This window comes from Homo sapiens, chromosome 10 (assembly GCF_000001405.40).
Source record: "Homo sapiens chromosome 10, GRCh38.p14 Primary Assembly".
Classification (NCBI taxonomy): domain Eukaryota; kingdom Metazoa; phylum Chordata; class Mammalia; order Primates; family Hominidae; genus Homo; species Homo sapiens.
Genome location: NC_000010.11, coordinates 120713839 through 120727438, shown reverse-complemented (window position 1 = coordinate 120727438; position 13600 = coordinate 120713839). Strand labels below are relative to the sequence as shown.

General features: G+C 39.6%; 1 long non-coding RNA gene across 2 annotated transcripts in view, besides 1 other annotated feature; it reads right to left on the bottom strand.

The window, feature by feature from the left end:
• The window catches only part of LINC02930 (long intergenic non-protein coding RNA 2930), a 216730-nt gene that overhangs the window by 97873 nt on the left and 105257 nt on the right, over window positions 1-13600 (bottom strand). The gene's annotated exons all lie outside the window — the stretch shown is intronic.
• Window positions 7853-8012: an enhancer, noted in NCBI's record as "active region_4135". NCBI's record gives its function as "activates an Ori minimal core promoter by ATAC-STARR-seq in GM12878 lymphoblastoid cells {active_cell/tissue: GM12878}" and the evidence as "EXISTENCE:reporter gene assay evidence [ECO:0000049][PMID:35858748]".

Here is a 13600-nt window from a genome sequence, read left to right as displayed (position 1 = left end):
ATACAGAGGACAACATCTACTAAGCTTCAACCCAGTATTGCTATGTGAGATATGCTGGCTCACTTCTGCCCGTGTTCTAAGAGAAGGCAGAAATGTAGATTTTGTTCCATATAAAACATCCCAATTTAAACATGCTGGCAACAAACACAGGAAGACTTAACACAATGTAAAGGCAAAGTGTATCTGACCCACAAGTTACTCTGCTTTAAGGATTGCTGAATACACCCCAAATTATCTTGAAATTCGTATCCATGTTTGTTTTGGGTTAAGGCCCAGGAAGGCTTACAATACAGTGTTCATGGGTTATTTGGAGTGCTAACATATGAAATCAACATCATTTTTTTTCTTTAGCTCAAGTTAGTTGGTTAGATTCATCTATTCATTTGCATACTTTTGAGCATGTAAATCCTATTTTCAAAATTAATCTCCTGAAACTCAAAAACTAAAGTGGAGTTTTTTGGCACATGTTTATGTATTAAAGTAACATAATTAGTATGCAATATTTAATGTATAATGTATAATGCATAACATCATTTATTATAAGGGTGATCAATGGAACAAAAAAGATCATTTGATTAATAGAAATATCTGAAATTAGGATTTGTACAAGCCTATCAGAATTTTTATAATTTCTATTCAATTATTTTCTATATTGTGCTTTAGTTTCCTGTTCTGGAAAATCTTTGATATATACAGATTATGCAGTTGTAAAAGACAACAAAAGTTCTAATAAAACTTTACTTATAAGCAATGACGTTTGAATTTAATTAAATTTTCAGATGCCATGAGATATTCTTATAGGCCATACAAGAACAGGTGATGGGCTGAATTTGTCCCACGGTCTGTAATTCTAGGATATACATTAAAAGAATTGTTTAAAGGTGTGTAATATGGAAGCTAAAAAGGGGGAAGATGGAATAATAAAAATTCCCAATTAATCTAAAAGAAAGTGAGAAAGGAGAGAAAAGAGAACATAAAACAGACAGGACAAATAGCATTGAATAAGATGGTAGGGTTAAACCTAAATATATTTTATATAAATGGGTAAATGACCCGATTAAAAGAAAAATACTGTCAGAATAGGAAAGGAGAAAAGCTCAGTAATGGGTAAGCAAATGAAATATAAAAATGTGTGAACAAATAAAATATAAGTTGACGAAAAGAATGAAAATAAAAGATATGCAATTCAAACACTATAAAAAGAAAACTATATTCATATCAGATAAGGCAAACTTTAAGACCAAAAAGCATTACAAATGACAAAAAAGACATTTTGTAATATTATGCTTCAATTCATCAGGAAGCTATAACTATTCACAATTTGCATATACCTAATAGCACAGTCTCACAAAATATAATGCAAAACTTGACAGAGCCACAGAGAAAAAGACAAGCCCACCCTTACAAGAGAGAAATTAATATAACTGTTGATAACAAATAGAACAAGCAGATAAAAATTCAGTAAGAATTTAGAATATTTCAATAACATCTTTGGAAAACAAGATTAATATGCACACATAGAACACTGCATTGAAGAACCACAGAATGCATATTTGTTTTCAAGCACACACAAAATGTTTACCAAAATTGACAATAAGTTGTATCATAAAGCAAATATCTAACAATTTCAAATGATTGCAATCATTGAGTATGTTCTCTGAGTATAATACAATTTAATACAATTAAGCTATAAAACTATAAATTAATTATAAAATACATAACTATAAAAGCTGCATACATTAGAAAATTGAAAAATGTAATTCTAAATAGCCCATGGGTCACAGAAGAAATCACAATAAAAATTATAAAGTATTTTGTATGGTATAGTAATTAAACATGCATATAAAATGTGTAGGATACAGCTAATGGTATGCTTAGAGATTTCATAACCCTTAATACAGACATTAAAAAGATAAAGTTTTAAAATCAAGAATTTAAACATCCATTTCAGCAAGTTATTTTTTAAAACCAAACAATTAAAACTAAAGAAGCATTACATAGAAATATTATAGATACTATATGTATATACTCATGGGTTACATACATGTAGATGTTTCCCTGCTCTGTTAGCTGACAGAGTCTAGAAGCAATGATACCTCAGTAGCAACAAGCATGTTGTATTAGTCCGTTCTCACGTTGCTAATAAAAACACACCAAGACTGGGTAATTTATAAAGGAAAGAGGTTTAATTGACTCCCAGTTCCACATGGCTGGGGAGGCCTCACAATCATGGTGGAAGGTGAATAGGAGCAAGTTACATCTTACAGGGCAGAAAGCAAGAGAGAGCTTGTGCAGGAGACCTCCCCTTTATCAAACCATCAGATCTTGTGAGACTTATTCACTATCACAAGACAGCACGGGAAAAACTGGCCCCATGATTCAGTTACCTCCCACCAGGTCCCTCCCATGACACGTGGGGATTATCACAATTGAAGGTGAGATTTGGGTGGGGATACAGAGCCAAACCCCATATCACATACCTAACTCCAGATCTTGGATTCTTTTTTTTTTTTTTGAAACGAAATCTCGCTCTGTCGCCCAGGCTGGAGTGCAGTGGCGCGATCTCGGCTCACTGCAAGCTCCACCTCCCGGGTTCACGCCATTCTCCTGCCTCAGCCTCCGGAGTAGCTGGGACTACAGGCGCCCGCCATCACGCCCGGCTAATTTTTTGTATTTTTAGTAGAAACGGGGTTTCACCGTGTTAGCCAGGATGGTCTCGATCTCCTGACCTTGTGATCTGCCGGCCTCGACCTCCCAAAGTGCTGAGATTTACAGGCATGAGCCACCGCGCCTGGCCAGATCTTGGATTCTAAAACTATTCTTCAATTAAAGGAACCAGGGCTCCATGGAGAAATGCTGATGGTAGGACTGAGGCAGTAAATAGACGAGATGAGCCTGGAACATCTCTTATCATGCCAAAATGTAGGGAAAAGCTCAAAAACAAACAAAACACCCCACAATTAAGGGGTATGTCAAAGGGACACAGAAGCCAACTGAAAGAGCTCTCAATGGCTAAAGCTAAGAATTTTAGCAAAACTAGCTACATAAATAAGACAGTATTAGATTATAGCCCAAAGTATTACATAAATATTCACAAGTCTATACTGACACAAATAAATGATCGAATTAATAAATAATTGAGGGAGAAGAGAGAAATTTCCCATGAAGAAGAACTCCAAGTAATTTATGTGGTTGCTCCACCTTTGAGAAATAAAACTGCTCAGTCCTTAATTGTGGACGGAATCTAGTGATTTCCTTTCAAAGCACAGAACATGGAAAGGGAGGGAGAAAAACAGTAACCTAAGTAACTCAACTGTTGAGGAACCTGATAAACATTTCTCAGCCAGGCAAACCACATCAACATCTACAGTGAGAAGTCATGTTGATAGATTGAACCCTAATGGCACTTTATCTCTGTGGTCTTCACTTACGCAGAACTTCCAGAGCACCTCAGGAAGAGAGGGCACGGAGACTCATGCTCTTCAATGCCTCAGATCGGAAGTAACACCTGCCATTTCCTGTGAGAGCCCATTGGCTGACACTGGTTCCAAGGTCCCAAACTAACTACATGGGAAGCAGGAAGCACCAAGAAGCTGATGGAGAATCGGGTTTTGGAAGCAATAGTGAATTTTGTGTGACCATTTTGTAAAACCAGCACATTTGAGCCAAATACGAGAAGCTTAAATAGTTAGGGCTTCTGATCTCTCTTGAGCACAGCATTACGTCAGCCTGATAGATTTCTTTAATCCACTGGGCTGCAAAATATTTGCCTTTTCTTCACTTCATAATCTCCTGTCAGTGATGTATGTCTTGCCACCAATTAATGGTGGCCTGCAGGGTTACACTACTAATGATGTCATTTAGAGCTCAAATTTGTATTCAGATTCTTACATATCTAGGCTCTGGTATTTTTTGGACAGGTCATGATAATTTTGAAACAGGATTTATTTTCTCTAAAACAAAACTCCAGCTTTAAAACTGACTGCTCTGCCCTAAAATAAATAATGTATAATGTCAATCAGCAGATAGCAAGCACCACTGTCATATTTCTTAACTTAAAAATGTTCGGGAGCCACAGATAGCTGAATTTTTGGCTGACTGATTGGCTTTCTTGCCTCTCTCCCTCCCTCCCTCCCTCCCTTCATTCTTTCCTTCCAGAATAATTCAGTCCAAAAGGGAATGAGGTTGGGAGCCCACATAAGGAAAACATCCCTGGAAATAACTACTATTTTACTAATTTCCAGTGGGGCGGGGGGTGGGGGGACCATGTGACAAAGGTGAGCTGAGCGAAGGTGGGAGTTCCTTGGAGGGAGGGAGGTTGTCCAAGGCCGAGAACCCCAGCCCTGTCCTCACCGGCTGCATGGCCATGGATGAGAAACTTTGTCTGAGTTTCAGCTTCCCTGCCAAAATGAGTGACTGGCCTAGAGCAGCAATGGTCACACTATGGTGGCCCCTTGGGAGCCATGGAGGGTGTGAGAGGCAAGATGAGGACTATTCCCACCCTTCAACCCTGTCCCAATTTTCTCTATTGTAATGGGCCCCTGATGCAATGGGCCCCTCCTCTCTCCAAATACCTGCAAACTCTCAGAGACTTGTGCCTCATAGGCAAAGAGGTGATACTGTCTTCTGTTCTGTGATCCTGACAGGCCCCAACAGATGAATTTGTTTGTCTGAAGGTTCCTGTACTAAAAAATAAATTACATTAAATTAAACTGGAAAACCTACATTTTAAAAACTAGTTGGCCTGGTCATTTTATCTCTTTTGCTTAAAAGAGGCTTTTGCTCTGACATTTCACTGAAATATGTGTAGACACTTTGTGGACAATGTTGGGATGTAAATAAGAAAAATAGAAGCTTCTCACACACTAAGCACACTGGGAAAATCATAGAGAACTTCACTATAGATCCACATTAATAGTGGATATGGTTATGTAACACACCCATATCTATTCATCACCATAAGCAAAGGAGCCAGAAGAAAGCAAATCAACTTAGCTGAAGGCTTTGGCTGGAAGAAGGAAAATCAAATGCACCGTTCAGAACACCATAGACACTTCCGGCCTCCTAAGGCCATCACATACACACATAGGCAAAGACACACACACACACACACACACACACACACACACACACACACACACACTCATGCACACACCACCACACAGAGAACAGTTAAACAGCAGCAGAACTTATTGATATGACTCTAGGTGAAAGATTCGGACCAAAACTGCTGTTAGAGTTCAGGGTATTACTGGTCAGAAAACTCCAGTCAATCCCAACGTTACAGCTGTCAGAACTGAAAGAAAAGACTCAAGATTTTCTTTAAGGTATTATTACTGCTGAGGTCCCGGATGCCTTGGGACTTGCCCACAGCCACACAGTTTCTTGTAATTGGTGGATGTGGGAACACAGACCAGGTGTCCTGCCTTCCAGCTCCATGCTCTCTTGACTTTGCCACCGCTAACCTCAGGGGGCTCTTGGATTAGGATCAAAGGCTCATTTCAGGAACCCAGGGGGAGAAAGATTGCACTGACTTAACTAACTCAAAATCATTAGGGAAACAATGACCCATGCACAAGTTTCCCTTTATTTCTCTTGCTGTGAAAAAAAAAAAATCCGGATCTGTATAAGGAGAAACTTTATTGGAAGGATTACAGCAAAGGGCATAACAGGAGGATCAGGGGACCATTGCAATAGAGAAAATGCTCTGACCACGACATCTACAAGCATCTCCAAGGTCAGCCAGTAAAGGGCTTTCCTTTCCTAGGGAGGAGTAAGCAAATCTGGAAAGAGCCAAGTGTGGGAAGGGGGATGTAAGGCTGACATAATTGGTCAGTGGATCACAGAATGTCTTACCCAGAGGTCAGTCTATTCCTTGGGAGAGTCCATTAGTGGGGAGATGTGTGCTGGCTCAGGCTAAGAGGAGGTCAAAATTCAGGGATCTGGGGCAAGGAGAGAATCTTCACCAAAGATTGGTTTGCAAAGATTTTGTCTGGATTGATCACAGACAGTTCAGCTAATCATTTACGGGGCCAAAGAATGAAAATCTGCAGGGTGTCTGCCTGGCTTTGCCATGGGTGAACAAGGGGGTCATCCATGATTTTTGCCTAAGTCATATGGGGAAGGATGGTTCCCTGCAGTAGGCCAGTTCCAGAGCATAAGGGAATTGGGCAGGGGGAGTAGCTTTCTTAATTGTCACCATTTTCCAGGATAACAAGCTCAGTTGAAGTTCAACATCGCCAGAGTAAAATGAGGCCTTTAGTGTTATCATTTCGACAATCAACCCCTCATTTCCCTACCCCACAACCTTCTCTGTGAAAAGTGCTTTATTTTAAGAAGGAAAATTAATTTTGTAAGATTTCTTGGATTGAACCAAGTCTAAAAATTGGCTAGGTGACTGCAATATCCCTTCTGATAATTGAGATGGGATATTGATTTTGAAATATTTTGTAATATTGAGACTCAAGCTACACTGTCCACTACAAAGTCCATTCTTTCAAATGACTACTTAAAGTCCATGTTTTCATGCTACCTCTTTTCTGACTTACAGATAAAAGACTCTAAACTGTGATGAAGCTAGAGGCAGAATTGCCTATATTCTGCCACACAGAGGGCCATTTCTGTGGGATCTTAGCAGATATTACCTAGATACCGCAGATGCTTTCCTCCTTCTCAGATATTTCTTTTACTTATTAAAGGTTTAAGCCTTCAATATCACAAATCACATGAGCCCTAATACCTCCTCTCTCTCAATTTCTGCAAACTCTCAGGGACTTTTGCCTCATAGACATTTGTTCCTCTCTACACCAATCTGGTCTCAAAACTCTGTGCTTTCAAGCTTTCCATGTGACTCACTAGCAAAAGGTGTGTGTCAGTCTAGTAATTTTTAGGAAGATTGAAGGGCACAGCAGAGATCACACAGCTGTCTCCCCACCTGCTGTTTCTCACCCAGGGAAAACAGTTTGGCTCACACTCAGATTTATCTTTATTTCTTACTTTTCACCCATAAGCATTTTAAATTGTTTTCCAAACACCCTGTGGCCATACCAGCTCTACTGGGAGTTATGTTAAGCAAAGCCAACTAATTGTATACCTTTCCACATAGACAACTAAATCTTTGCTACTCGGTATGGTCCAGACCAGAAGCACTGGCATCCTGAGAACCTGTAGAAGTGCAGATTGTCAGCTACCTCCCAGAGCTGCTGAATCCCCAGATGATCACATGCACCTTCAAATTTGAGACCCCTGGAGTGTAATGTAGTTTGGATCAATTCCTTTCACCTTGGAGTTAATTGGTATGGTGGATTGAATAATATCCCCTCAACCATCCAAATTCATGGAATTTCGAATTATGATCTTATTCTGAAAAAGGGTCTTTGCAGATATAATTAAAATAAGGATCTCAAAATGAGATCATCTTAGATTTCGGGTGGGCCTTGAACCCAATGCCTGGCATCCTTATAAGAGATGGGAGAGGAATATTTGCAATACAGAGGGACAGAGAAGAGGACCATATGAAGATAAAGGCAGAGATTAGGGAGGTACATTTGTAAAGGAAAGAACGCCAAAGATTGCTGACAGCCTTCAGACGTTAGGAGAGAGGTATGGAATGGATTCCACCTCCAAATGGAACCAAGGTTACCAATACATTGATTTGGGACTTCTGGCCTCCAGAACTAGGACAGAATATATTTCTGTTGTCTTAAACCAGTTTGTGGTCATTTGTTACAATAGTCACAGGAAGCCAATATACCTGGTGACACTTGGGTTTAGGTGTCAGTCTGGGTTTTTTTTCCACTGGGTCATACCACTCCTTTATTTTCCTCATCAATCCTGAGCTGGTGAAGGCTTTGAAGTTTCTTGTAAATGTGGTCAGACTGTGGTCTCATGCTCCCTGCCTAACTTTGACCATGACTAGCCTTTTCTCTCTTAGAACCTCTTTCACCTTCTGACACTTTCACTTTCTCTGCTTTCTCCTTAGCTCTAAGGTTCCATCTCTCTCTTCTGCTTCTGCATTCTCTGTCCTGAGCTCTCACTTGTCCTGCCTGTGTGGGTCTATTAGAATCTCCTCCTGGGCTGCATTCTTTTCTACCTTAGCTACTCTGGGTTTTGTTGTTGTTCTAGAAAACTTCATTAACTTTCTTTTTTTGAGAAAAATGTCTATTAATCCTCCATAAAATCATATAAATTAGGCTGGAAAATATCAGATTTGAGCAATCCCCTAAGTGCATTCTGCTTATTCTCATCTTCCATGTTTGGATTAGGGAGAGGGAATTCTTTCTCTCTGATATTTTCTGCCTCTTTAAGTATCTCTAGACTGCAGGGAGAACCCATCTCCTCTACCACACACAGAGACTAAATCAAAGTCTTCCTTCTGAGATGAGCAATAGTTCATTCATTTCAATTATTTACTTCTCTATGTAAACCAAAAAGTGTCTGAGACAGATCTCAATCAATTTAGAAGTTTATTTTGCCAAGGTTATGGATCACAACCTGTAACACAGCCTCAGCCTCAGGAGGTCCTGAGAACATGTGCCAAAGGCAATTGTGTTATAGCCTTATTTTATATATTTTAGAGAAACCTAAGACATCAATCAATACAAATGAGGTGGGACAACTCAAAGCGGGGGTTGGGGGGAGGTTACAGGTCATAGGCAGATTCAAAGATTTTCTGATTGGCAATTGGTCAAAAGAGTTATTATCTAAAGACCTGGAATCAATAGAAAGAAGTGTCTGGGTTAAAATAAGGAGTTGTGGAGATCAGGGTTCTTATTATGTAGATGAATTCTCAAAGGTGGCCACGCCCAGAGGCAATAGATAGCAAGTGTTTCCTATTCAGACCTTTAAAAAGTGCTAGGCTCTCAGCTAATCTCCTCAGGATTAGAAAAGGGCCTGGTAAGGAACGGGGATTCTCTACAGAATGTAAATTTCCTCCACAAGAAACAGCTTGGCAGGGCCATTTCAAAATATGTCAAAGAAATATATTTTGGAGTAAAATACTTTGGTTTCTTTCAAGGTCCCACTATCATGTGATGCTATACTAGAGTCAGGTTGGAATTTGGTATCTTATTGTTACAAAAAGTCTGTTCTGTCAGTTTTAGGACCTGTGTTTTAATGTTAATGCTGGTCAGTTGTGTGTCTTAACCACAAGGGAAGAGAGTAATTGAGGTATGTCTGACCACTCTTCTTCCTGGCATGATCTGAACTAGTTTTCCAGGTTTAGTTGGGTCCTCTGGCTAAAAGGGGGGGGTCCACTCAGTTGGTCGTGGGACTTAAAATTTTATTTTTGGTTTATATCTATCATAGGGGTCACATTCAGAGTGAAATGAACTAAAAAACATTCTTTGCTTATTTATACTCTTTTGTTGAAAGAATTCCTTGTTACCAAGACAATATGTCGTCTAGTCATATAAGAATTACAGACAGTGCAAATTCACTTTCAAGATTAAGCAATTGAATATATATTCGTTCTAATGCATTGTGCTTAAAAATGCTGTTTGCTTTGGAATTCACTGAAGAGTTCCCACTCAGTCATCTTGCTTCAGTGAGAGCTTTCATTTGATCTTGAAGAGTTGATTCTCTTAGCAGTAAGAAATGTTCTTCTTTATGTCTGCCAATACTGTTTTTTTAAAGTCTACTTTATATGATATTAATATAGCCACACCAGCTTTCTAATGCTTAGTGTTTGCGTAACATATTTTCAAACTTAGACGTAATTGAAATATGTTTCTTGTCATCAACATGTAATTTATTTTTTTAAATCCACTTGATGATCTCTGCTTTTTAACTAGAATGCTTAGCCATTTGCATTTAATATAATTTTTGATATGACTGTCTTTAAGTCTTCTATCTTGGTATTTGTTTTAATATTTATATAATTTGTAGATGGAATTTAAAACATATTCGCTTTCATTAAACATCACTGTAAACTTCACATTAATTATCAGGCCTTGAACAACCATAAAATCCCAGAGTTATAAGGAACCTTAAAGGCCTTCTAGTGTTACTCCGGTTGGGAGAAGAGTCTTACAGAGACATATTAAAATCTACAATTGAAATAAATCATTATCTGACCAACTGTCATTAGAAATCATGACACATCACTCAATCCTTCTTTAGACACTTCCTAGAGACTTGAAGTTTTCCACATATAACACGTTATCTCATGGCTTTTCACTATGTACCTAGTATGGATAACAGACAACTATTTTCTCTACAGGCTTTCATCCCTTTCCCCAGACATTTCCTATTATTAAAACCGAACCAAACCACACCAAACCACACCAAACCAAACTAAACCAAACCAAACCAAACCAAACAAAAAAACCCCTCAATGCATTCTGCATCTTCTATGTGCAGACACTATGATGGAGCAAAGGGGAGGAGGTTCAAGGGTGTTAAGGCCCTGACCCAGGCCTTTGGAAATCCCAGCCTAAAGAAGCTTTGAATTTTTATCTCTTGTATCAGGCACTTGATAAAATCAGAGCTGACTTCCTTCCCGGAGGTGAGTTTACTTTTTTTCTTTTCTTTTTAAACATGCAAGGAGAAGGAAGTTCCATGGCACTAGGAAACCTAGAGAACTGGCAAAGGATTATTCTGCTGCTCTTTGTTTTTTAAATAAACACTATATAATTGAACTTCTAGAGACAGTTGCAAAGGTTCCAGCCCTTTGCTAGTCAGGTCAATTTTTTTACATGGCCCAGAAGAATTGGGCTGATTCACCTTTTTAGAGAATGGACAAAGGGTTATGGTGCTCCTGGCCAGCATGACGTAAAGACAACTTCATTACTTCATTGAAGGCACTTAAAAGAAAAGTCCTGCTCTATTTTTCCTGGCAAACAACTGGCTCAATTTAGGGGCAAAGATTTCTCATAGAAACGTCACAAGTCTTTGGTAGAATAATGAGAAATTTATACTTCAGAGAAAGGTATTCACAGGTCCTGGCGAGACTTACTTAAGATCTAGACAATGGTCACAATTTACTATTTCAATTTGTCTCTCATAGAAGGGAAAACTCACCAATCTTGTGATGAGTGCTAAGAGGCCTATCAAGGGGATTGACTGCAGGTCTCCTGGACCACCTGTGATTCACCTTGTTTTAACAAAAACAGGAGCTCCCAACGTCGTTCACTCATTTCTGATGCTAAATTCCCATTATCTTTTTCACTGACATTGGCTTTCAGGCTCTAGGAATAGTTGGAAGAGTACACAGACCTTACAGCTCAGAGGGCAAAAGCCAAAGTTAAAAGAATAAATAAGTCCTTTCCATCTTGACAGGTGATTACAGTTTCAGACCAACCATCCGATTCTGTGTGGTGATTGCACAGACCTTTTGCTACATAAGGGAACATTTCACTGAGGGCTGCTGGGTGCAGTACCTTGAATGTCTGAGCTCTTAACAATGGGATCTGTCTGCACATCACTTTGCACATCACTCTTGCAACAATAACAGCCTATTCTTTGCTTTCTGTTGGTCGACATTCGTTATTTCACTCTCTATTACTATTGGATTTGGATTGCCATTTCTTCCCCTTTTTGCAAGTTCTAGATTTCCAATTTCTTAAGGACTAAACATCTGAACTAATGAATTCCAAATTGCCTAGAGTGTTTTACCATAGAATCATAAGGGAGTTTTACTTCCCCAGGGACTTTTAGGAGCTGGGATCTTTAAGATCATGTAGATTTAAGCCCGGTAAGTGCAGAGAGAGGGTCTAACTTGTTTATGCATCCTTCATAACCTCCTTTGTATAAGGTCGATGCTCACAACAGGTTTTCTGAATCAAATCGTCCAACACTCTCCACCTTATAAATGAGGATATTGAGGCTCAGGAGATGGATAAACGTTATTTATCAAATGAGTGACTGAAGATCACATTCAACATTCTCCTTTGTAAAACTTACTATTATTTCAAGATTCAGCTGAGATTCCACAGCTGCTGAGGTATCTCTACAGTACTTCATGCCTACAACTTCCCCCTTTGATGAACTTTGCAGCTTCTCCTAGAAGAAATATTTTTAGCCCTAAAATGCAGAACTTGCTACGCTGACTGTAACTTCTTTCTTTTGAAATAGTCTCCTCTTCTTCCTGCGAATGCATCAGATACTCTATTAAAAGGGAATATCCACTCTCTGCCCCCATTTTGGCTTTTTGACATCTCACCCCCTTCCACTTTGTGCCACATGCCAATGATTGTTCCCCCAGCTCAGGGAATGCTGTGCCCTCCGGCTCAGAGGGCCTTCTTGGCCACAATAAGCTCCCTGTGCACATCTATTCCTCTGAAGCTGGCATCTCTCTTAAGTAATGTTGGTGCCTTCTCACTCCCTGCTGGCTGGCTTGGCTTGTCACACCTGTCAGCTGAAGGGCTCTTATTGATCTTCGTGTTTGTTTTTCCCCACAACATTGTTCTTGGCTCTTACTCTGTCACAGCACAGTGAACCAGGCTGCTCTCAGGTGAGGTTTGATCCTCCTGTGCTCTGCTTCTTTGTGAGGCCGGTGACTGGAATAAAAAACTTCATGTTTTAAGATAGGGTTTCTTCATCTTGGCACTATTGACACTTTGGACTGGATAACTCCATGTTGTGGGGGTGCCCTTTGCAAAGTAGGTTGTTTAGCAGCACCCCTAGCCTCTGCCCACTCCATGCCAGTAGCACCCCCACCCCCAAGCTGTGGCCATGAAAGATGTCTCCAGATCTTGCTGTGTCCCCGTGGACAAATTTGTTCCTGGTTGAAAACCGCTGCTATACGCGGACACAGTCACCTGCTCATGAAACCCAAAGACGGAGGCCAGTGCTCTGTGATTTTCTACCCGTGTGGGAGTGACTTGGAATTAACCACTAGAGTCATGTCAGAGTGAAGTTCTGTGTTCAGGAAACAAACACACAAATATAAACTGCCTGTGCAGAAACGCCAGTGTACTTTCTTGAAAAACATAAAAACCTTTTGCTTGTTTCTTAGTATACACCGAAGCACGTTGAAGAAGAAGGCATGCCTCTGGCTTAGTAAGATGCCTTCACATTCTAATGGTGTTTTAGAGTTTAATAAAGCATTCTGCATGTATTAGCTCATTTAGGTCCTCAAGGTACTAAGTGGACTATTATTATTATTATTGTTGTTGCTTTGTTAAAATCACCCTCTGGAAACTGATTTCAGAAAGTTTAAAAAATTTCTGTACTGGATTTATTTTCTTGCTAGACACATTAAGGACATATATATTTTTTCCTTTGGTCATAAACTGCAAAATAGAAACAATTTTATGAAAAAAGTCAAATAGGTTCTATCTGATTGTTTCTCATTCTCTCTCCTTTGTCCTACCCCAAATGGAAACATTAATTCAATTGCCTCTAATAGGCGAAAAAAAAATCCCCTTAGTGGTATATGACCAGGAAGGGGCTTTTGCTATTTCAGAAGTTGCTTGGTAGGCATTCTGCATCACTAATGCCTCTGAGTAATCAGTTTGCAAAACAGCAAGTGTCCCCAGCCAGCCCATCATTGCCAGCACTCCCTTCTCATTGTCCTAGGTTTCTTGACCTTTACAAGCTCATCACTGAATGCCTGTTTTAATGTGTTCTCTTCCCCACTGCTTTGTCCTGCCTTCATCAG